General features: G+C 49.1%; 1 protein-coding gene and 1 long non-coding RNA gene across 16 annotated transcripts in view, besides 2 other annotated features; one reads left to right on the forward strand and one right to left on the reverse strand.

Moving 5' to 3' along the window:
• Positions 1–1,433: 1,433 nt before the first annotated feature.
• Positions 1,434–23,454, reverse strand: LOC105370052 (uncharacterized). Of its 4 annotated transcripts, XR_001749365.2 has the most exons (4): positions 23,225–23,312; positions 21,649–21,754; positions 5,162–5,269; positions 1,434–1,468 (listed from the first exon to the last, which is right to left on the reverse strand). It is a non-coding gene; the product is annotated as an uncharacterized LOC105370052 (long non-coding RNA). The 4 variants fall into 4 exon arrangements; XR_001749364.2 differs by lacking the exon at positions 1,434–1,468 and having other exon boundaries at positions 4,980–5,269; XR_945491.3 differs by lacking the exons at positions 1,434–1,468; positions 5,162–5,269 and adding an exon at positions 19,591–20,451 and having other exon boundaries at positions 21,649–21,757; positions 23,225–23,454.
• Positions 5,235–5,854: a silencer, noted in NCBI's record as "silent region_5080". NCBI's record gives its function as "represses an Ori minimal core promoter by ATAC-STARR-seq in GM12878 lymphoblastoid cells {active_cell/tissue: GM12878}" and the evidence as "EXISTENCE:reporter gene assay evidence [ECO:0000049][PMID:35858748]".
• Positions 5,594–24,306, forward strand: part of AACS (acetoacetyl-CoA synthetase) — a 77,882-nt gene continuing 59,169 nt past the window's right edge. For 11 of the 12 annotated variants that reach the window (NR_183033.1, NR_183032.1, XR_007063117.1 and 8 more), the window contains exons 1-3: positions 5,594–5,876; positions 14,035–14,138; positions 16,650–16,770. Coding sequence is in view for 9 of the 12 variants with exons in the window: in NM_023928.5 (NP_076417.2) it covers positions 5,744–5,876; positions 14,035–14,138; positions 16,650–16,770 (358 nt within the window). In the remaining 3 variants the exon portion in view is untranslated. Of the gene's footprint in view, positions 5,877–14,034; positions 14,139–16,649; positions 16,771–18,436; positions 18,530–24,306 lie in introns of those variants that run through there. The other variant, XM_011538692.3, reaches the window with a different exon arrangement.
• Positions 23,266–23,777: an enhancer, noted in NCBI's record as "NANOG hESC enhancer chr12:125567653-125568164 (GRCh37/hg19 assembly coordinates)". NCBI's record gives its function as "activates a minimal SCP1, AML or CMV promoter by ChIP-STARR-seq in naive H9 embryonic stem cells {active_cell/tissue: H9 hESC(naive)}" and the evidence as "EXISTENCE:reporter gene assay evidence [ECO:0000049][PMID:30033119]".

Below are 24,306 nucleotides of genomic sequence, written 5' to 3' on the forward strand. Positions count from 1 at the left end.
TGAGCAGCGGGGCGACTTTGAATAGCATGAGAGGCAGGTTGGCCCTAAGCAGTTCCCAGCTTGACTTTTCCCTTTAGCTTCATGATTTTGGGGCCTCAAGATTTATTTTTCTATCACACTTTCCCCCTTTTCTTTTTAAAAATCTTTTGGAGAAAGCATTTTTAGAAGAAAATGAGTCTCAGGCCGGGCACGGTGGCTCACGCTTGTAATCCCAGCACTTTGGGAGGCCGAGGCGGGTGGATCACGAGGTCAGGAGATCGAGACCAACCTAACACAGCGAAACCCCATCTCTACTAAAAATACAAAAAATTAGCCGGGTGCGGTGGCGGGCGCCTGTAGTCCCAGCTACTCGGGAGGCTGAGGCAGGAGAATGGCGTGAACCTGGGAGGCGGAGCTTGCAGTGAGCCGAGATCAGGCCACTGCACTCCAGCCTGGGCGACAGAGTGAGACTCTGTCTCAAGAAAACAAAAAAAAAAAAAGAAGAAGAAAATGAGTCTCTGCTCTCAGGTTTCATCTGATCTTTCATGGCTAGAATGGTTTATTCCTAGACAGGTAGGTCCCAAGTTATTAGGAAGGCTCATTTTTAGCAGGTTGTGAAGTCTCATGTCCTATGAAGAGAAAACGGGGGAGGAAGGGAGAAAAGCAATAACAAACAAAAGAACAATCCTGGAAAATTGATATAGGCCACATTACCCTGAAGTCCATACATCAGTAGGCAGGGATGAAAATGTCTTATGTTTGTAAATAGGTTGCTGTTATTTTCTTCTGAAGTTTAAGTTGTCTAGCTTCAGTTTGCAGGGCTTTATGAAAGCATAGCTTAGTTTTTGGTGACTCCAAATTAGAAAAAATGGGAAAAAAGAAGAAAAAAAATTGAAAACGTTATTTTGCAGGCTTGTAGTCAAGAAAAATTAGAATTTGGTCCAAACTGTAGACAATAATAAAAATTGAAAAACATTAAGCAAGACTAGAATCTAACAACAGGTGTACTACAGTTTTTGAAACATAATTTTTCTCTCTCCAGTTTCCCATTTTTACTAAGGACAAATAATGGTATGACTTATTTGCTTTATTATACTTGGCCTGATTATTTGTATACAATGCTGCAAGAATAATATATATTTTTTAACATAGGCTTTTAAATTGGCTTTGATGGAACTTTGTTCCATAGAAGGAATCTCAGATGAGACATTTTAAAGCTGAGTCCAGGCATGGATTCATACCATCAAATACCTATGAATTGGTTGAATCCCTTTCTTCTTGAGGTTCCAAGATAAACTTGGAGTTCTTGGACCTGTCAGAAAGTGACATTGTTTACTTACCACAGGTCAGGAATCCTGTACAGGGACTGTGTAGGCAGAGGTATGAGGCCAGTTTTTCCAAGGGGCTTTTATTTGCTCCATAAGTCAAGTTTGATCCCTTAAAGGAAAGCACACCATTCCAGTCAAAGCCTTGTTTCTCCAACTGTGTCCTGTTACAAATGAAAACAGGTTCTTACCGCACTTATGCAATTAACTGTATTGTTGTAAGTTAAGAATACTCACAAATAGTTTCCAAAATTTTGTAGAAATCAGGTAGAGAGAAACAAATATGCTCCAAATTTTGTTCATAGTCGTATCCCGTACTCAATTGTTAAAAGCTATAAATAGCTTAAAAGTTTTCTTCACTCAGAAAAACAAAAAGATCAGCAATGTTTTAAGCAAAAAGTTAAAAAGATTACAGATTATTTCAGACTTCTTCTTCTTCTTTTTTTTTTTTTAGACAGAGTTTCCCTCTTGTTGCCCAGGCTGGAGTGCAATGGTGTGATCTTGGCTCAGTGCAACCTCTGCCTCCTGTGTTCAAGTGATTCTTCTGCCTCGGCCTCCTGAGTAGCTGGGATTATAGGCATGCGCCGCCATGCCCAGCTAATTTTGTATTTTTAGTAGAGACGGGGTTTCTCACTGTTGGTCAGGCTGGTCTTGAACTCCCAACCTCAGGTGATCTGCCTGCGTCGGCCTCCCAAAGTGCTAGGATTACAGGCCTGAGCCACTGCGCCCGGCCAGGACTACCTACCTCTTAACTGGATCTCTGAGCTCTGGGCAGAGCCCACATTGAATCCTGGGTCTCCAAAAAGGGAGAAGTATTTTGAAGTTAGACGATGTGATGCTTTTACAGTACGCTTAAATTTTTTTTTTTTTAACAAAGATATTTCTTTTTTTTTTTTTTTGAGACAGAGTCTCATTCTGTTGCCCAGGCTGGAGTGCAGTGGCGTGATCTCGGCTCACTGCAATCTCTGCTTCCCGGGTTCATGCCATCCTCCTGCCTCAGCCTCCTGAGTAGCTGGGATTGCAGGCACCCGCCACCATGGCTGGCTAATTTTTTGTATTTTTAGTACAGATGGGGTTTCACCGTGTTAGCCAGGATGGTCTCGATCTCCTGACCTTGTGATCCATCTGCCTTGGCCTCTGAAGTGCTGGGATTACAGGCGTGAGCCACCGTGCCTGGCCAACAAAGACATTTCTAAGTGTCTAAACTACACTCTTCCTTAAAAACCCCAGAGTAGCATCTGTTGCAATAGCTGTTAATGAAAAAAACAGAATTCAGTCAACTGAGAAAAACAAAAACAAAAACAAAAAAACCTTTGCTCTAAAAAAAAAGCATCAGTTCCTAGGAGAGAAAAACAAAAACAAAAACATGATAGCCTTTTAAATACAAACACGAGCACATGCGCACACACATCTTGGATGTTAGCTTTTAATGAAGCTGACTTTTAACCATTGAGCTCCTTTAAAAAAATCTTTTTAAAATCTCATTACTATATTTCTGTTAGGACAAATTGCTGCTATTTCAGAAGTACCAAGTAGCAAACCAGAAAGGACTTGATTTAGGAACTAAATCTAGGCTGTCGTGGTTAGAAAAAGCAGGCAGAGCCTTAGCTATGGAACTGCAGCTTGGGGCAACAGCCATTGCTTTCACTTTGGCCTGGCTAGCAAAAAGGTGGCCTTATGTAAATAAAGCCCCTTTAGTAGTTAAAATCAAACATCTTTCCTCTTTTAATTTTTTTCTTTTGCTGGTTGTTTTTTCCCCCTACCAGGCCACGTGTGTGTGTGTGTGTGTGTGTGTGTGTGTGTGTGTGTGTGTGAATTTAGCCACTTTACAGTCCTTGTTCCCAGCAATTTGGAACTTTCCTTTTGATTTGATCAAGTCAGATATAGTTGATCAAACCCAATGGGAAAAGACCAAAGCAACAACAAAAACAGAGACAAACAAGCAACCAAAAAAGCATTTAAGCCAAACAAAAAATGGCACAACTTATATGATCACTGAGCACGCTCTAATGGTAAGGATAAATTAATGTTAGAGGAAAGCGGTCCCGATCCAGACCCCAAGAGAGGGTTTTTGGATCTCACGCAATAAAGAATTCAAGGCGAGTCTACAGACTAAAGCAAATGCAAGTTCCTTAGGAAAGTAGAGGAATAAAAAGATGGCTACTCCATAGACAGAGCACCCTGAGGGGTGCTGGTTGCCCATTCTCATGGTTATTTCTTGATGATATGCTAAACAAGGGGTGGACTATTCATGCCTCCCCTTTTTAGACCATATAGAGTAACTTCCTGACATTGCCATGGCATTTGTAAACTGTCATGGTGCTGATGGGAGTGTAGTAGTGAAGTCAAGCAGAGGTCACTCTCATCACCACCTTGGTTTTGGTAGGATTTAGCCGGCTTTTTTACTGCAGCGTGTTTTATCAGCAAGGTGTTTATGACTTGTATTTTGTGCCGACCTCCTGTCTCATCCTGTGACTTAGAATGCCTTCACTGTCTGGGAATGGAGCCTAGTAGATCTCAGCCTCATTTTACCCAGCCCCCACTCAAGATGGAGTTGCTCTGGTTCAAATGCCTCTGACATTAAGACCAGCTGGCTGTTAACCTTAACTTTAGCCAAGACAAACCCCAATTCAGTTACTTACCTAGGGATGGGTCTTAGGCTGTAGACTGCTCTCTACCATTCTAGAAGCAGGAAAAAAGACCTCATCTTCCCTGTTGGAAGCGAGCTCAAACTCCATAAAGGAGTTACCTGCCTTCCATTGTCATGGAAGCAGGAAACCTTGCCTTCCTTGTTGGAAGCAAGTAAAACTGCAAAGAAAAGAGTTGTACAGCAAAATAAACTTTAGATCTCCACCAAATTTTGGGAGATCAGGGAGGCTCTGGAGGGGGTGCTCTCAGACCTGGGCTCACTCTTGTAATCCCAGCACTTTGGGAGGCCGAGGCGGGTGGATCACCTGAGGTCAGGACTTCAAGACCAGCCTGGCCAACATGGTGAAATCCCGTCTCTACAAAAATGCAAAAATGAGCCGGGCTCGGTAGCTCACGCCTGTAATTCCAGCACTTTGGGAGGCTGAGGCGGGCGGATCACCTGAGGCCGGGAGTTGGAGACCAGCCTGACCAACATGGAAAAACCCTGTCTGTACTAAAAATACAAAATTAGCCAGGCGTGGTGGCACATGCCTGTAATCCCAGGTACTCGAGAGGCTGAGGCAGGAGAATTGCTTTAACCTGGGAGATGGAGGTTGCCGTGTGCCGAGATCTCGCAATTGCACTCCAGCCTGGGTAACAAGAGCGAAACTTCGTCTCAAAAAAACAAAACAAACAACAACAACAACAAAAAAAAAAACACGAAAAATTAGCTGGGCATGATGGCGTGTGCCTGTAATCCCAGCTACTCAGGAGGCTGAGGCAGGAGAATCGCTTGAACCTGGGAAGCAGAGGTTACAGTGAGCTGAGATTGGGACATTGCACTCCAGCCTGGGCGACTGAGTGAGACTCAAAAAAAAAAAAAAAGCTAAGGCGGGGAGGGGGCCTTCCAGGTCATAGGTAGATAAGGGACAAATGGCTGCATTCTTTTGAGTTTTCAATTAGCCTCTGCAAAGGAGGCAATCAGGTGTGCATTTAACTCAGCAGAGGGGTGACTTTGAATAGAATGGAGGCAGGTTAGCCCTAAGCAGTTCCCAGCTTTTCTTTTCCCTTTAGCTTAGTAGTGGGGCCCCAAGATTTATTTTCCTTTCACAAATGTGTATTTTGATACCCATTGGCATACTATGTATATTATTGTATTATACTATGACATTATCTTGTGTATGTACACGATGTACTTATTTGTTAATCGTCTCCCGTCTTCCTCACACCTGTACCCCTCCTCTCCTGTTGACAGAGAACAAGAATTTTGTTTTGTTCGCTGCTGTATCCGCAAAGCTCCCAAAGTCCTCCGAATGCCGCAGGCTCTCAGTAAAGACCTGCAGGAAGAAATAGCGAATGAATGATGTACACGTGTAGGAAACAGCGGGCTCGGACGCCTGGCTTCTCCGGCTGCCCTAACGCCCTCCAGCTCCAGGTGAGGTCGGGGAGCTGGGGCCAAGGCTCGTGAGCGCCCCTCACCCCCACGCCCCCCGGCCGCGGGCGCTGGAGCCGGCGGCTGCGAGCACTCCTTTGAGCGGCGCTGCACTCAGCGGAGGGTTACAGGCGGGAGGGCGGGGCCTGGAAGGGGGCGGGGATTCGAGGCGGGGCCTGCGGGGCGGGGCCTGGGCCAAGCGGCCCGCAGGAGGCGGCGGCGGCCGTTCAGTCCCTTGTTCCCCGCCGCCGCCGTCGCTGACCCAGCCCGCCAGGCGCTCCTGACCGTCGCTTCCTCCGGTCCCAGGTCCCCGGCCCTCGCCTCAGCCCCGGCCCCTGGTCCCCAGCCCTCGTCGCAGCCCCGGCCGCCCGCCGCCGCCATGTCCAAGGAGGAGCGCCCCGGTCGGGAGGAGATCCTGGAGTGCCAGGTGATGTGGGAGCCTGACAGTAAGAAGAACACGCAGATGGACCGCTTCCGGGCGGCTGTGGGCGCCGCCTGCGGCCTGGCGCTGGGTGAGAGTCGGGCGCGCGGCCGGGCCTGCGGGGGATGGGCGGGAGCCGTGCAGGGTGGTTGGGTGGTCTCCCCATGGCTAGTTTCACGCTTCTGGGGCTGGAGGAGCCACTTGATGGCGGGGAGGCCTTCTGACTGCGGGGTTCCCCCCAGTCTTGGGGAACATCACCCCTCCACAGCACCTCCTGGCACTTCCTGACTCTGCAGCGTCTCCTCTGCATGTGGGGGTCACCCTCTCCCCGGGAGTGTCACCCCTCGGGAGGGCCAGCTGCCTGTTGACCGTGTGACCCCTTGCTAGGCTTTCCTACCTGTGAGGTGCTCCCTGGAGTCTTGACCTCCGGCCTGTGGGGGCTTCCCCCGGACATAGGGCCTTTTTGACTTGCAGCTCTTCCTCTGTTTGTGGGGGTCCCTTGCCAGTCCCCAGTGCCGTGCACTCTGTCCCCCTGACCTCCCTCATCTCCAGCTGCCCCTGCTGGAGGCCAGCACCTAGCAGGATGGTCAGGCAGGAGGCCCTGTCCACGTGTCTACACTCCCAGCCCCCAAACAGAACCTAGTAAAAGACTCTCTTTCCACCCATCACCTTGAACCTCAGAAACTGCCTCTCTCGGTGCGGGTGGGGCAAAGGCTCCTTCTCCGTGGGGTAACCGCTCCGGGTGCTCTTCCTGAGCTCTAGCTGGCTTGCCCAACTACCAGCTCCACCCCTCCACCCTGCCTCCCCTAGGTATTCCTAGGGGATTTTTTTTTTTTTTTTTTGAGACAGTTTCTCTCTCGTTGCCCAGGCTGGAGTGCAATGGCGAGATCTCGGCACACTGCAACCTCCGCCTCCCGGGTTCAAGTGATTCTCCTGCCTCAGCCTCCCGAGTAGCTGGGATTACAGGCATACACCACCACGCCTGGCTAATTTTGTATTTTTAGTAGAGACGGAGTTTCTCCATGTTGGTCAGGCTGGTCTCGAACTCCTGACCTCAGGTGATCCGATCGCCTTGGCCTCCCAAAGTGCTGGGATTACAGGTGTGAGCCACGGCGCCTGGCCTCCTAGGGGATTTTTAACTCATGGTCTCCCCTCCTCACCCCCTCCGCTGGCGCAGGGACTCCCTTGTTTCTGTTGGTGGCGTCACTGTTCTTGCTCAGGCTCACAGGGATGGACACCCCAGTCACCTGTGGCACCAGAAGTCTTCTGCCACAGCCCCATGTCGCTCACATCTCCTCCTTTGCAGCCCCTTGTCAGGGGTTCTGGGGCCTCCTTTCCTCCTCACCAAACAGTGGTTGGTTTTCCTGCTTCCTGCTTTTCCATCCATTTGCATCCTGCTTGCTTTGCCAGAGTAATCTTGAAGCATACAGGTCTTACTTTGTCACTCCTTGGCTCAGAAGTTCTCAGTGGTTCCTTGTTGACCACAAAATTGCAGACGGCTGCCTGGCAGCTTCCAGGCCCTCCACAGCAGTGGGGAGCTTCCACAGAGTCATTTTCCTAGGCTAACCCAGAGCTGTTCCTCTCCTTCCCTTCCTCTCCCTTGGAGACAGGTGTAGTCTGTTGCCCCAGGGGCTTCTGGACAGCAGTTGGTAAATGAGTATGTGTTGGATTAGGGCAGCCTGGAGACTCCTGGAAGAAGCAGGAGGCTGCCATGTGGGATTATGTTCTTCCTCTGTGTCACCTTGCCTTGATTCCATCTGTTTCCTCTGCCAGCAATAACAGAATGCTGGTCTGGTGCCTGTCTAGCCCTGATGTTATGAAATAATTTCAGATCGGGCAGCCCTATTAGATGGGTGAAACCACCTTCCTCCGTGGGAAGTGTTGAAGAGAAGGGATTTGTAATCTGACTATCTGGATTTTTTTTTTTTTTAAGCCTCGCTTTTCTCCCCCAGGCTGGAGTGCGACGGCGCAATCTCGGCTCATTGCAACCTCTGCCTCCTGGGTTCACGCAGTTCTCCTGCCTCAGCCTCCCGAGTAGCTGGGATTACAGGTGCCTGCCACTATGCCCGGCTAATTTTTGTATTTTTAGTAGAGACGGGGTTTCACCATGTAGGCCAGGCTGGTCTAGAACTCCTGACCTCAGGTGATCCACCTGCCTCGGCCTCCCAAAGTGCTGGGATTACAGGTGTGAGCCACCGTGCTCGGCCGACTACCTGGGTTTTGAACTAGCTCTACCACTTACCAGCTGTGTGATCAGGAGGAAGTCATTGGATCTCTTCATGCCTTGTTTCCTCATCTGTAAAATGGGCATAACAGGACCTGAGTCATTGAGTGGGTGTGCAGGTGACAGGAGATGGTCAAGCCCAGTGCTCAGCTCTGCCCTGGGTCCCTGGGGTTGTGGAGTAAACATGAGCAAGTGCTGGGAGGGCCCGAGCATGGCTGCGGAGCTCCTTTCCCTCCTTCAGGGCTCTCAGACTGGTGGCCCATGGGCCAGGTCTCATCTCCAGACACACTGTTGAGTTGCCTGCATTTAAAAGTTAGGAGAGGGGGCTGGGCGTGGTGGCTCACACCTGTAATCCTAGCACTTGGAGAAGCTGAGATGGGTGGATCTTTTGAGCCTAGGAGTTTGAGACCAGCCTGGGCAACATGGTGAAACCCCCATCTCTACGAAAAATACAAAAAATTATCTGGGTGTGGTGGCATGCGCCTGTAGTCCCAGCTACTCTGGAGACTAAGGTGGGAGGGTTGCTGGAGCCCAGGAGGTGGAGGTCGCAGTGAGCCGAGATCTCGCCACTGCACTGCAGCCTGGGCGACAGAGTAAGACTCTGTCTCAAATAAATAAAAGTTGGGAGACCATATATGAAAAGCAAGCTTTCCAACCTCTGAGATCCCCAAGGCCTGTCATGCTGGGTCTGCATTCCCAACGTGGCAGCATTGTCCGGAGCTGAGTGAGGCCCCTCCCTTTAGTTTGGAGGAGGGCATTTAGCACTGTTTTTGTCCTTTTCTCCTCTTACCACTCTTGAAGGTGATTTCCACCTGACTCTCCCCTTTCATATTCCTGGCCCTGGAGGCTTTGGGCTTTGCTTGAAGATCCAGCTCAAATGCTATCTTCTTTTTGATTATTCTCTTTGAATATTTCTGCCTTCCCTCTTCTCTCCAAGCACATGTAATTTGGGCTTTCATTCTGCCCTGCCTTTTTGTGTATTTGTGAGCATTCTTTTTTTTTTTTTTGAGATGGAGTCTCGCTCTGTCACCCAGGCTGGAGTGTGGTGGCGCGATCTCGGCTTACTGCAACCTCCGCCTCCCGGGTTCAAGCAGTTCTCCTGCCTCAGCCTCCTGATTAGCTGGGATTACAGGCATGCAACACCAAGCCCGGCTAATTTTTTTGTATTTTTAGTAGACACGGGGGTTTCACCATATTGGCCAGGCTGGTCTCGAACTCCTGACCTTGTGATCCACCCACCTCGACCTCCCAAAGTGCTGGGATTACAGGCGTGAGCCACCGCGCCCGGCTGTGAGCATTCTTATTGCTTAAAGACAGTGCCCGCGAACTCGTATCCTCTCCTCTGTGTCCCAGCAGAGGCTCACTTGTAGCCTGTATACAGTATGGGGCCATGCTTTGGACTGGATGTCAGTAGAGAGCAAGGCACACATCCTCAGCAGCCTTGCTCCCGCCCTGCAGGCTTCAGGGAGGAAGGCAGGGGCATTCCCCACTCCGGCCGCCTCTCCGTGAGCCCGTCTTCCCAGACCAAGGTTGGCAGGACGTTTCTATCCCTGCATTTTGGGAGGCTCTGGTAGGGTTACCCACCCTCTTTTCCACTGCCATAACCACAGGTTGGTTGGTTCTTGTCACTGCTTCCAGCTGAAGCCACCTGTGCACTCCCTGCACATCCACGTGGGGCTCTGGGGTCCTCTGATGCAGACTTCCTTGGGGTCGGCTGCAGCTCCAGCCTGGCATATGTGCCTGTGATTCCAGGCCTCTAGCAAGCTCTGGCAGACATGCTGCATGTACTAGCCCTCTGTAATTAGGAGGCAGGGAGGTGGCACCAGTTTCAAAGGCATGCTCTTTTGGAGGACTGTGCCAAGTGTCCTTCTGTGTACCACAAGCTGCACGTCGGCTCTCTGTGCAAGCAGCTGGGATGGAGTTTGCCAACAAATAGAAGGCTTGGGCCCTGTTCTCAAATAGCTCCGGGTGGCTAGGGGAGAGAGCTCATGTGAAGATAGTGCCACACGTTAGTGGACGCTGGGCATTCCACGAATGGGGCATTGGTGTTGACATTCTGAGTACTGCACTGTTGTATGACAGATGCAGCTGACGGCTGTAACTTCAGAAGAATGTGTGTTCAGAGTTCCAAGCTAAGGAATCCAGGAGTGGCCAACCCGGATTTATTCCTTGTCTATGAGGAACATCTGAACCCCCGGCCCATCCCATGGAATGCAAGCTCTACAGGGGGATTGAGGCCCTTTCTTTTGGATTAAGTAAAGGTTACCAGGTGGAAGTTGCTAGGGGAGGGTGCTGAGTGAAGGTGCTGTATAAACTGCGTGCATTTTACAAGCGGTTGCGGTTCTCCTGTCCAGCCTGCTGCCCCCAGACCATCCCTGTAGGTAAGTTTCCAATAAACCCTGTGTCTGGCTCACTGCTTCCAGATCTCTGGAATCTGGTGCCATCTATTGGAGTTAACAGGGGTCCAGCACAACAGCAGTGCGCTGGGTTTAGCAGAGAATGCGGTTTAGAAGGGCGGATAGCCTGTAATCTCAGCTACTTGGGCAGCAGGGGCAAGAGGATTGCTTGAGTCCAGGAGTTAGAGGCTGCAGTGAGCTATGATCATGCCACTGCACTCCAGCCTGGGCAGAAGAGTAAGATCCTGTCTCTAAGAAAATGAATAATAAAAAAGAGGCAGATAAAATCTTCAGCTAAGATTTGAAGGTGTGGGCTGGCCAAGATTCTCGTAGGTGGAGAGGAAGAAGGGCTGAAAATTCAGAAGCCTGTAGGGACCAGACAGGTGCCCAAGATAATAATAGTTACTATTCAGTGAGCTCTCTCTGTATGTCGGGCTCCATCTGGCACCTGATATGTATCAACTAATGTAATCCTCTCAGTAATCCTACCAAGTAGGTGGTAGTAGTAGCCCCATTTCACAGCTGAACAAACCAAGGCACGAAGTCTCAGTTAAGACTTTGTAGCTGTAGGCAGTGGAGCTGTAGTCTGCCGTCTGGTTAGTTGTTGCCTCTGGCATTTGCCTGAGGGCCCGATGAGGCAGCTGTTCCCAGTTCTAGCTAATCCTCACTGTGTGGTGTGGACAATGCATTTGTTACCTATTGCTGGTGACAAATCAGCCCAAAAGTTAGCGACTTAAAACAAGAATAAACCTTTATCACCTCTGAGTTTCTGTGGGTCAGGACTGGGGAGTGGCTAGTTGGGTGGTTCTGGCTCAGGGTCCCTGAGGGGCTGCAGTGGGAACGCACCCGTCCCCAAGAGCTCACTCACATGGCGGTAAGTTAGTGCTGGTGGTGGCAGCAAGGTAGTGCAGGAGACATCTGCCATATGCCACCTAGGACTGCGTGAGCATCCTCACTGGCTTCTCCTGGAGCAGGTGACCCAAGAGAGCCATGTGGCTGCAGTGACCGTTACAACCTGGCCTTGGAACTCACGTTTGGCCACTTCCACAATACCCTGTTGGTGACACAGATCAGCCCTCTCAGGTTGGAAAGGGGACCATAGAGGGCCATGAATGCCTGGAGGTGACAATTACTGGCTGATGACCACAGTCAGGTACTCACTTTTCTCAGGAGAAGCCGGAGTTTCATTTAAAAATGGATTTATGTGCTTGCTTTGGCAGCACATATACTAGGTAGAAAAATTTGCATGATCCCTGCACAAGGTGGAGATGCAAATTCACGAAGTAGCCCATAAAAAAGCAACAACAGGCTTTTAAGTGTGAGCAGCTTGCACAGGCTGAATCAGACCTGGGCTTGCGGTTGCAGCGTCCTCCCTGGTAGAGGCGGGGAGCGTGGGAGCAGAAGAGTGTGTCTGAAGAGTCGCATTTGATGAGAGGGCTGAGTTGCTGACAGTGGGAAAGTTTCCACCTGAAGTCGGCCGCTTTTGCTGTCGTCTCCCAGGGTCCTTGTGGTGTCAAGAGGCCATTGTGGCTGCATCCTTCCAGATTCATGGGGCTGGCCGCGTCTGCCTTCCTTAGTGATGCTGTTGGCGAATGCACTTTTGTGATACTTTTTTTTGGTTGTTGTTGTTGACAGAGTTTCGCTCTTGTTGCCCAGGCTGGAGTGCAGTGGCACGATCTCGGCTCACTGCAACCTCTACCTCCTGTGTTCAAGAGATTCTCCTGCCTCAGCCTGCCAGGTAGCTGGGATTATAGGCATGCACCACCACACCTAGCTAATTTTTTGTATTTAGTAGAGATGGGATTTCACCATGTTGGTCAGGCTGGTCTCAAACTCCTGACCTCAAGCAATCCACCCATCTCGGCCTCCCAAAGGGTTGGGATTACAGGCGTGAGCCACCGCTCCTGGCGCTTTTTTTTTTTTTTTAAATGGGGTCTCACTCTGTCGCCCACCCAGGCTGGAGTGCAGTGGTGGGATCATAGCTCACTGCAGACTTGAGCTTCTGGGCTAAAGCGATCCTCTCAGCTGTCCCTGCCCCAGTTCTTGTGATCCCTCCTTGTCCAACATAACTGAGGACCATTCCTGGACACCACAGTCAGAGGGGACACTGCTGAAGGGCAGGGAGCATCGTGTCTCTTCTTGTCTTCCCCACCGGGGCTGGGAACAGTGAGGATGGGCAAGCTTGACTTCACTGATGGCAGTGAGATAATTCAGCTCAGCGGTTGTATTATACCTTTTCCCCCATTCCTGATACCCCATTGGCCATCTTCCTGTTATGTTATTATATCCTTGCCAGTCTCTGCCTTCCTGGAGCCCTAGCAAGGCTGTGCTTTGAAACAGAAGCACTGTATGGCTTCCCTTGGTCCCCGATAGGATAAAATTCTCCTGTCCCTAAGGACTGATTGGCTCACTGTGGCCAATCCACTTGGATCCTAGGCAGTTGAGAGGGTAAAGAGTCCTCAGCGAGGCTGGGGTTAGTTTTTCAGTGAAGTCACATTTCCTTTAGGAGTTAAATACATCTCTTTGTGTCAAGTTTCCAGCTCATGTCTTGATGGTGGGGAAAAGTTATTTTGAGTATAACTGAGTGGAATCTGCAAGGGGGAACTCCCCTGGGCATAAAAGTTAGACTGTTGTGGAATAAAAGGAGGGAGACCTTTTACCATGTAACTTTTGTTTTTTTTTTTTTTTTTTTTTTTTTTGAGATGGAGTTTCGCTCTGTTGCCCAGGCTAGAGTGCAGTGGCGCGATCTCGGCTCACTTCATCCTCGGCCTCCCAGGTTTAAGCAGTTCTCTGCCTCAGCCTCCCACGTAGCTGGGATTACAGGCACCCGCCACCATGCTCGGCTAATTTTTTTTGTATTTTTAGTAGAGATGGGGTTTCACTATTTTGGCCAGGCTGATCTTGAGCTCCTGACCTGGTGATCCACCTGCCTCGGCCTCCCAAAGCACTGGGATTACAGGCGTGAGCCACCGCGTCTGGCCTCCATATGACTTTTTACACTTTCGTAATTTTGAGTCTTGTGAACATATTGCTTCAAAAATCGAAATAAGTAGTAACACCTCCCAACATTATACTGGCCTTGAGAAGTCATCAACAGACTACCAGTTTTGAACTTCTGGGTTTTCCAATGTATCGACTATAAATTTCCTAAGGTTGTATGGTATAATAATGGTGAACTCCTAATGCCATGGTGTTAATTTCCAAGGCCCTGTTCTAAGCACTTTCTACATGTGCTCATTTAAATCCTCACAACAGCCCTGTGGCTGGAGGGGGATTATTAATTATCCCCATTTTGCACTTGCCTGAGGTCACAAAGCTAATAAGTGGCAGAACCAGGATTTGAACCCGGGCATTTGGGCTCTAGAGTCTATGTTCTTAGGCATGGTAGTTAAGATATAAAATCACTGAAGATGACTCAAAACATCACCGCCTCAGCTTTTGTTCTTTTTGGGGACTAGTGGTGTTGGGTTTGCGTCAATACAAATTAAGCTCCTTCCTCCCCCAGACCATTTCTCCTCAGATGAATTTGGCTCGCTTGGACATGCTCAAGGCTTCTGAGGTGTGTCCATCTTATTAATGGATTGCCAAGATTTCCCTTCTAAGGTTAATCTGAGCTATTTCATTTTTAGAGAGTTATGATGACTTGTACCATTGGTCCGTTGAGTCATATTCAGACTTCTGGGCAGAGTTCTGGAAATTCAGTGGAATTGTCTTCTCACGTGTGTATGATGAGGTAAGTAGAGATTTTCCGTGGATATCATCTCTTTTTGTGGTCGTGCTTCAAAGTGAAATGCTAATTTTGGGGAATACTGAATTGTATCTCCTTTTTACAACCTCATGCAGATGGGAAAAAGTCATTGCCCTAGAGAACTGGCATTAAATTATCACAGACCTCATCGAGAACTTTGCAGCCTGTTAATCCTCTGTTGTATGGGGACCCCAGGCCCTGTCCTGGGAACTTGAGTGATCCTAAATAGTAGTTTTGTTTGTTTGTTTGTTTGTTTTTAATTTTTAAATATTTGGGGCTGGGTGCAGTGGCTCACACCTATAATCCCAGCACTCTGACAGACCAAGATGGGAGGATCCCTTGAGCTCAGGAGTTTGAGTGCAGGCTAGGCAACATAGCAAGACCCTGTCTTCAAAAAAATAAATTAGCTGGTCGTGGTGGTGCATGCCTGTGGTCCCACCTACTCAGGAGGCTGAGGTGGGAGGATTGGTTGAGCCCAGGAGGTTGAGGCTGCAGTGAGCTGTGACTGCGCCACTGCACTCCAGCCTGGGCAATAGAGCCAGACCCTGTCTCAAAAAAAAAGGTTTAATTATGTTAAAATACATATATCATAAACTATTATGTAACCATCTTAACTATTTTAAACTGTACACTTCAGTGATGTTAAGTACATTTACATTGTTGTAGTTTTTTTTTTTTTTTTTTTTTGAGGTGGAGTCTTGCTCTATTGCCCAGGCTGGAGTGCAGTGGGGCCATCTTAGTATACTGCAACCTCCACCTCCCAGGTTCTAGCAGTTCTCCTGCCTCAGCCTCCTGAGTAACTGGGATTACAGTCATGCACCACCACGCCTGGCTAATTTTTGTATTTTTAGTAGAGACAGGGTTTTGCCATGTTGCCCAGGCTGGCCTCAAACTCCCAACCTTGGGTGATCCACCCGCCTCAGCCTCTCAAAGTGCTGGGATTACAGGCATTAGCCACCATGCCTGGCCACATTGTCATAGTTTTTTTTTTTTTTTTTTGAGATGGATTCTTGCTCTTTTGCCAGGCTAGAGTGCAGTGGTGTGATCTCGGCTCACTGCAACCTTCAACTCCCTGGTTCAAGTGATTCTCCTGCCTCACCCTCCCGAGTAGCTGGGATTACAGGCATGCGCCACCACGCCCAGCCAATTTTTGTATTTTTAGTAGAGATGGGGTTTCACCATGTTGGCCAGGATGGTCTCAACCTCCTGACCTCATGATCTGCCCGCCTCAGCTTTCCAAAGTGCTGGGATTACAGGCATGAGCCACCGTGCCCGGCATTAGTTTTTTAAACTATTTAGAAGTTTCGTTCTTTATTTTTCTTTGAGACCGAGTCTCGCTTTTGTCACCCAGGCTGGAGTGCATCTCGGCTCACTGCAACCTCCACCTCCTGGGTTCAGGTGATTCTCTTGCCTCAGCCTCCTGAGTAGCTGGGATTACAGGCGCCCGCCACCACGCCCGGCTAATTTTTGCATTTTTAGTAGAGATGGGGTTTCACCATGTTGGCCAGGCTGGTCTTAAACTCCTGACCTCAGGTGATCCGCCTGCCTTGGCCTGCCAAAGTGCTGGGATTACAGGCGTGAGCCACTGTGCCCAGCTGGAGTTTTTTTTTTTTTTTTGAGATGGAGTCTCGTTCTGTCCCCCAGGCTGGAGTGCAGTGGCGTGATCTTGGCTCACTGCAAGCTCCGCCTCCTGGGTTCACACCATTCTCCTGCCTCAGCCTCCCCAGCAGCTGGGACTACAGGCGCACGCTGGCATGCCTGGCTAATTTTTGTATTTTTAGTAGAGATGGAGTTTCACCGTGTTAGCCAGGATGGTCTCGAGCTCCTGACCTTGTGACCCGCCTGCCTCGGCCTCCCAAAGTGCTGGGATTACAGGCGTGAGCCACTGCGCCTGGCTGGAGTTTTGTTATTTTTTTAACCTGCAGCTTAGAAAAAACTTTTCAATTCCTTACACTGTAAATCAATAAATATCGGGAAAAAGGGAGTCCTGCCATTCAAAGTCGAATTTATTGTCTCCTTGGGGCAAACCATTTTGAAATGTTGATCTTTTGGGACTTTGACAATAAAAATCAAGGTTCCAGCACTCCAAGGAAGGAAGCAAAGGCTGAAGCCCCCAAAAGTTGTAGGCAAGGGGCAGGTGGTCCTGGAGCTTGCTCTCCTGGTTTCCATGCGTCTGGGCAGAGCCTGACGTGTTGGGTGTCGTCTTTGTCTTTAGGATCTCTCACTGAGTAGGTGTTTAATGAGTATTTGTGGAACACATATGTTACTGGGGATGGTTGTTTTCCGTTGGCATTAATCCCTACTTTCAGTTTCTAGCTTTTAGGCCAGTTCAGAGTTCAGTCCATAAAATGATTTAAAAATGCTCTGGGCCAATGAGTGAGCTGGCTTCCTGGGAAGAAGAACCACTTTTGCTGATTTGTGACATAGTCTCATGTTTTGCTGATCTGTAGCGTAGTCTCATGTGTGTGCGTCTTGGTTTGTTGTCATTCTCTATAGGTTGTGGACACATCGAAAGGAATCGCAGATGTCCCCGAGTGGTTCAAAGGCAGTCGGCTCAACTATGCAGAAAACCTCCTGCGGCACAAAGAGAATGACAGAGTTGCCCTTTACATTGCAAGTAAGTCCTGATGGCGAGACCTGGGATTTCCTCCGTGGAAGTTCTAGATGGTGCATGCATGCGGTGCCACATATTTGGAGAGATAGGATTTCTAAACCATATGTTGGCACCTTTCTGATGTAATTAAGATTTCTGTCGACTTTATTTTTGCTGGGGAGGGGAAAGGGCCAGTGTGTGGTCATGCTTTATGGGCAAAATGGAGATACTCAGTATTAAGTAACTAGCTTGTGTCACACAGAAAGTTAATGATGGAACTATAACTAGAATCTCTTCCCATTGGCTTTTCCTTTTAAAATAAAGTTGAGGCTGGGTGCAGAGGCCGGGTGTGGTGGCCCAGGCTGGAGTGCACTGGCATGATCATGGATGGCTCACTGCAGCCTCAATCTCCCAGGCTCAAGCAATCCTCCCACCTCAGCTTCCTGAGTAGCTGGGACTATAGGCACACACCACTATGCATGGCTGATTTTTTTTTTTTTTTTTTTTTAGTAGAGACAGGGTCTTGCTATGTTGTCCAGGGAGGTCTTGAAATCTTGGGCTCAAGCAGTCCTCTCATCTTGGTTTCCCAGAGTGTTGGGATTTCAGACATGAGCCACTGCACCCGGCCCCTGTGCAGCTTTTAAAAATTTATTATTATTTTTAAATTGTGTGTTCCACTTTGGGAGGCCAAGGTGGGCGGATCACGAGGTCAGGAGATCGAGACTGTCCTGGCTAACATGGTGAAACCCCGTCTCTACTGAAAATACAAAATATTAGCCAGGCGTGGTGGCGGGCGCCTGTAGTCCCAGCTACTCAGGAGGCTGAGGCAGGAGAATGGTGTGAACCCAGGAGGCGGAGCTTGCAGTGAGCTGAGATTGCGCCACTGCACTCCAGGCTGGGCGACAGAGTGAGACTCTGTCTCAAAAAAAAAAAAAAAAAATTGTATGTTCAGCAAGAGTTTATTGGACACTCTTTGTGTCTAAGACATCTTGTAATGTAAGACTCAGAGATAAACTGAAGTCGTGTTCTGCCTCCAGAATATTACATTCTAATCATGGAAATAAGGCCAACATACACAGAAACAGTTGACAATCTATATTAAATGCCAAAATGAGTCTCCAAGTTGGCAATTTTTTTTTTTTTTGAGATAGAATCTTCCTCTGTTGCCAAGGCTGGAATGCAGTGATCTCAGTTTGCTGCAACCTCTGCCTCCTGAGTTCAGGTGATTCTCCTGCCTCAGCCTCCCAAGTAGCTGGGATTACAGGCGAGCACCACCATTGCTGGCTAATTTTTGTAGTTTTAGTAGAGATGGGGTTTCCCCATGTTGGCCAGGCTGGTCTCGAACTCCTGACCTCAGGTGATTCCCCCCGCCTCGGCCTCCTAAAGTGCTGGGATTACAGGCGTGAGCCACCATGCCCGGCCCCAGTTGGCAATTTTTATTAGAAGCCAGAGAAAGATTAATTCACTGTGGTATAAAATACTCATCAGAAACTTCACTCACTCCCTAGATCAGCACAAGAAACCAAACCACTGGAAACAGGCAGTGAGTGGCCCTGCCCAGGCTACAGAGCAGGGCCTCCCTTCTGCCATCGTGGGAAGGACCAGCAGCCCCTGTGCAGTTGGTAAAGATCATGGCAGTCCAGTTCCCACCGAGACTTACTGGGACACATCTTCCGGGGCTGGGGCCCAGGCTTCCATGTATTTTCAAAGCCCATGGGCACTTCTGATGCACATTCCTGGTGAAGAGCCATGGAGCAACGTCTCGACGTACCATATGGGGCTGGTCAGTGTTCCATTGCTGTTTTCCTTGGTTCTCAGCCTTGACATGGTCATGGCAGAGTAGATAGGTGGTCTGGGGTCAGGGCTCTGACTGGCTCTCCCGTGCCCTTTGCATGCCCACCTGTCTGTTACATCCATTTGTTCCTCAGATCTGTATTAAATGCCTCATTAGGGCTGGGTGCAGTGGCTCACGCCTGTAATCCCAGCACTTTGGGAGGCTGAGGCGGGCAGATCACCTGAAGTCAGGAGTTCGAGACCAGCCTGGCCAACATAGTGAAACCCATTTCTACTAAAAATACAAAAAATTAGCCAGGCGTGGTGGTGGGTGCCCATAATCCCAGCTACTCTGGAGGCTGAGGCAGGAGAATCGCTTGAACCCGGGAGGTGGAGGTTGCAGTGAGCCGAGATTATGCCATTGCCCTCCAGCCTGGGCGACAGAGCAAGACTCCGTCTCAAAAAAAAAAAAAAAAAAAAAAAAAGCCTCCTCTGCAAGGAGACAAGCTGCCTGCCCTGGGAGACGCTGATGTTCCGGGGGGCAAAGCGTGGTGGTTTAACAATAAGTAAGAAAACATGCTTGGAAGAATAAGTAAAGCATTGTGATGGGAAAGGGATGATGGGGTGGGGTGTAGGGCTGTTTTAGACAGGGCTGCCAGGGAAAGCCTGTTTGGAGGAGTCTACGGAACTTGATGAAGCCTTCCTCTGGCTGACCCCTGTACCTGGAATCTCCTCCCCGCACCTCTGCGGAAGTCATGTTCCCAGGCACAAGGAACAGCCAGAAGAAGGCCCTGGGCTGGAGGAGGCTCTGTGTCTGTGGGGAACAGCCAGGAAGGCTGAGCTGGGGGGCCTCGGTGGTGAGTCCAGGAGTGTGGGGAGGTGTGAGAGGGAGTGGGCCATCCTCAGGGTTCTGAGCAAGGGCTGGGTGATCCCGTGGTGACCTGGCTGCTGGGTGGAGAACGGGAAGGGATTGCATCATGGGAAAGGAGACTTAGGGGACTGCTCCGTGCTCCAGCTCTGCGTCCCCAGGGTCACCCCTCTGACAGGGTCTCACTCTATTGCCTAGGCTGGAGTGCAGTGGCACGATCGTGGCTCACTGCAGCCTCGACTTCCCAGGCTCAAGCGATCCTCCCACCTTAGCCTCCTGAGTAGCTGGGATCACAGGCATGCACCACTGTGTCCGGCTAATTTTTTTTTTTAAGTTTTTTTGTAGAAATGAAGTTTTGCCATGTTGCTCAGGCTGGTCTCGAACTCCTGGGCTCAAGCAATTCACCTGCTTTGGCCTCCCAAAGTGCTGGGATTATAGGCATGAGCCACTGCGTCCAGCCAGCTCCTTTCTTCCAATTAGCATATAATTCATATACCACAGAAATACCCTTTTAAAGCCTGCAGCTCAGTGGTTTTTAGCATTTTTCAAGAGGTTATGCAGCCACCACCCCTAGTTCCAGAACATTTCCATTTTCCGAAAGGAAACCCCATACCAATTAGCAGTCACTCTCTGTTCCTGCCTCCCCCAGCTCCTGGCACCCACCTCTCTGCTTTCTTTCCTGGGTTTCCCTGTTCTGGACATTTTGTATAATTGGATCATACGATATGTGGCCTTTTGTGATTGGCTGCTTTCGCTCAGCACAGTGTTACCAAGGTTCATCCACATTGTAGCATGGATCAGTACTTCATTCCTTTTATGTCCTAGTAATCTGCCACAGTACAGGCAGACCACATTTCGTTGATCCCTAAGAGGCTCCTGTGAGACTGGCCTGCCTCAGGCACTGCAGTGCATGTGGGAACCTCCCTAGGGTGCCAACCCAGTCGCCTCTTTCGTAATCCTGAGAAGGAGAACGAGAACGCTGCGTCTCTTTTCTTTTCCTCGTCTCTTTAAATGTGTGTGCTTTAACCCAATGTCTCAGACACTTCATGAGCTCCTGGTTTCTCCTGTAAAGTGGGAACGGTCAAATGTGAATCCTTAAAAAAAACCCAAAAACCCAAAACTAAAAATCTAAACCCAAAACTAAAAAACTAAAAATATACTTGATTCCTAGTGATGACATAAGCCAGTCTTCCCAGAACTTGTAATACGGGTGTCTGGGTGGAGACTGAACTGGGTGGGGTGTCTCTCTCTCTCTCTCTCTGTTACATACAGTATTGGCTGAATCCAGCCAGTTGCCTTTTATTTTTTTAAACCCGGCCCTGTCTCGAGGGTGGGTTATAATTCTGTGTCTGTTTCACACCCCCTACCCCTTTACCTTAGCCTGTCTTCTCTTCACTCCCACCATCTCTTCTCTTAAGTATTTGAGCCCCCCCTTTTTAAAATTATTTTTTATTTATTATTATTAATTTTTTATTTATTTTGAGACAGAGTCTAGCTCTGTCCCCCAGGCTGGAGTGCAGTGGCTTGATCTCGGCTCACTGCAAGCTCCTCCTCCCGGGTTCACGCCATTCTCCTGCCTCAGCCTCCCGAGTAGCTGGGACTACAGGCGCCCGCCACCACGCCTGGCTAATTTTTTGTATTTTTAGTAGAGATGGGGTTTCACCGTGTTAGCCAGGATGGTCTCCATCTCCTGACCTCGTGATCCACCCGCCTTGGCCTCCCAAAGTGCTGGGATTACAGGCGTGAGTCACCGTGCCTGGCCTTTTTATTTTATTTTATTTTGAGATGGAGTCTCGTTCTGTCACCCAGGCTGGAGTGCAGTGTCGTGATCACAGTTCACTGCAATCTCCACCTCCCCAGTTCAAGCCATCCTTCCACCTCAGCCTCCTGAGTAGCTAGGGTTGCACGCGTGCGCCACCACACTGGCTAATTTTTGTATTTTTAGTAGAGATGAGGTTTCTCACCATGTTGGCCAGGTTGGTCTTGAACTCCTGACCTCAAGTGATCCACCCGCCTCAGCCTCTGAAAGTGTTGGGATTACAGGCGTGAACCACCACGCCTAGCAGAGCCCCTTCTTTTAATGAGCTTTATCCCTTCCTTATAATTGCAGTGGGAATAAGGACCCTTATGCCAGTGATCACAGTTAGTTTACAAATCGCATCCCTTACTTAAGCAAGGGCCTAAGCAGCCGATTATTGGCTCGGGGGCTTTAAGATCATTGTGCTTCGTTTTCTGCATGTTTTTCCTGACTTGTTCCTTACCCAGCTGGGTGCAGGTGCTCACGGAGCTCTGCTCCATGCTCACTCAGGCGTTCTCAGCAAAACTCATCTCTCCTATGGGTAATCCCCGTCGAGGCCATGCGATGCCCTGCTTAAAAAAATACATACATGTGCACAATTGCCTTCATGCTCCAGCGAGTAGAGCAAACAACATGCATTAGCACATCCGTGTTGAGATTGTTAGAACAGCTGCCTGCGCAGCACATTTTGCTTTTGAAGAGTAGCTATCAGCTTACCGAGTATTTTCACATGATGGAAAGTTTTCTGGGCTGGGAATGTGGGAGAGGTAATAAAAAGGCTACCCCAGGGCAGCAAGGAGAGGATGAAGGGCAGACGCGTACAACTCTAGGCAAATAGGAAAAAAAAAACGAGTTTTTTTTTTTTTGAGGTGGAGTTTCACTCTTGTTGCCCAGGCTGGAGTGCAATGGCGTCATCTTGGCTCACTGCAGCCTCCGCCTCCTGGCTTCAAGATATTCTTCTGTCTCAGCCTCCCAAGTAGCTGGGATTACAGGCACGTGCCAGCATGCCCAGCTAATTTTTGTATTTTTAGTAGAGAGGGGTTCCACCATTTTGGCCAGGCTTGTCTTGAACTCCTGACCTCAAGTGATCTGCCCGCCTCCCAAAGTGCTGAGATTACAGGCATGAGCCACTGCGCCCAGCCTGATTTTTTTTTTTTTTTTTGGAGACAGGGTCTTGATTTGTTGCCCAGATTGGAGTGCAGTGGTGCAGTCACAACTCACTGTAGCCTTGACCTCCTGGGCTCAAGCAAGTCTACCACCTCAGCCTCCCAAGTAACTGGGACCACAGGTATGTGCCACTGTGCCTGGCTATTTCATTTTTTTTTTTTTTTAAGAGATGGGGTCTCCCCATATTGCCTAGGCTGGTCTCGAACTCCTGGGCTCAAGTGATCCTCCCATCTCAGCCTCCCAAAGTGCTGGGATTACAGGTGTGAGCTGTAACACCTGGCTGGAAAAAGCCAGATTTATGCCAAAGGGAAATTAGGATGTTTATTCACTTTCTAAAAGAGACAATTCGCCAGCACGGTGGCTCACACCTGTATATCCCAGCACTTTGGGAGCCCGAAGTGGGTGGATCACAAGGTCAGGAGTTCGAGACCAGCCTGGCCAACATGGTGAAAGCCTGTCGCTACTAAAAATACAAAAATTAGCTTGGTGTGGTGGCGGGTGCCTGTAGTACCAGCTACTCGGGAGGCTGAGGCAGGAGAATTGCTTGAACCTGGGAGGCGGAGGTTGCAGTGAGCTGAAATGGTGCCATTGCACTCCAGCCTGGGTGACAGAGCGAGACTCTGTCTCAAACACACACAGACACACACACACACACAAAGAGGTAATTCATGTTATAGAACTGAAAAGCGATGATCAATCAGGAGCAAAATATTTGCATCAAGGGTAATGGTCAAAAGAGTAACTTCTATACTGTAGAAATTATCTTCAAATCATTTTCCTGTACCTTCACAACACTGAGTCTTACTTGTATTAGTTATCTTTCCATGTCATAGATTTCCTGAAAGCCATAGTTTAGAACAAACATTTCTTACCTCCCAGTTTCTGTGGGTTACAAATCCAGCAGTGGCTTAGCTGGGTGATCACTCATCAAGTTGCAGTGAGGATGCTGGCAGGGGTTGCAGGCATCTGAAGGCTTGACTGAGGCTAGAGGAACCACATCCAAGATGGTGTGCCCACGTGGCTGTTGGTGGGAGGCCTCGTTCCTCCTCGTGTGGGCTGCCTCCTCCAGAGGCTTCCTCAGTGACCTCACAGCATGGCCACTGGCATCCCCTAGAGTGAGCCAGATGGGAACTGCAGTGACTCTTATGACCACAGCTCAGAAGTCATTGTCATTTCCACAGTAACCCATCGATTCCCCAGGTCAGGTGTGAATACCAGCGGGCAGGAGTCACTGGGGGGCCATTGTGGAGGCCGGCTACACACTGTCCCTTCCCATTTGTACAGTCTGTTAGGCGAAAATTGGTATCTTCCTGTTTTAACATACATTTCTTTGATAACGGGTGGTTGATCGTTTTTTTTTTAATTTTTTTCTGTACTATCAAAGTTTTTGACAGTAAGCTTGTGTCACTTTTAATCTTCTAAAAAATTATACTACTGAGCAATAAAAGAAGTGAATTTTTTTGTTTGTTTGTTTGTTTGAGACAGAGTCTCACTCGGTCGCCGAGGCTGGAGTGCAGTAGCACCATGTTGACTCACTGCAACCTCCGTCTCCTGGGTTCAAGCAATTCTCCTGCCTCAGCCTCCTGAGTAGCTGGGATTACAGGCGTCCACCACCACGCCCGGCTAAGTTTTATATTTTTAGTACAGACGGGGTTTCACCATGTTGGCCAGGCTGGTCTTGAACTCCTGACCTCAGGTGATTCACCTGCCTCAGCCTCCCAAAGTGCTGGGATTACAGGCGTGAGCCACCGTGCCCGGCCTAGAAGTGAATTATTGATGCATGCAATAACTTAAGTGAATTTTAGTGGCATTGCACCAAATGAAAAATGCCAATCTTAGAAGGTCACCTTCTGGCTGGGTGCGGTGGTTCGCGCCTGTAATCTCAGCACATTGGGAGTTCGAGGTCACTGGATCACCTGAGGTCAGGAGTTTGAGATTAGCCTGACCAACGTGG

The sequence above is a fragment of the Homo sapiens genome, chromosome 12 (assembly GCF_000001405.40).
Source record: "Homo sapiens chromosome 12, GRCh38.p14 Primary Assembly".
Classification (NCBI taxonomy): domain Eukaryota; kingdom Metazoa; phylum Chordata; class Mammalia; order Primates; family Hominidae; genus Homo; species Homo sapiens.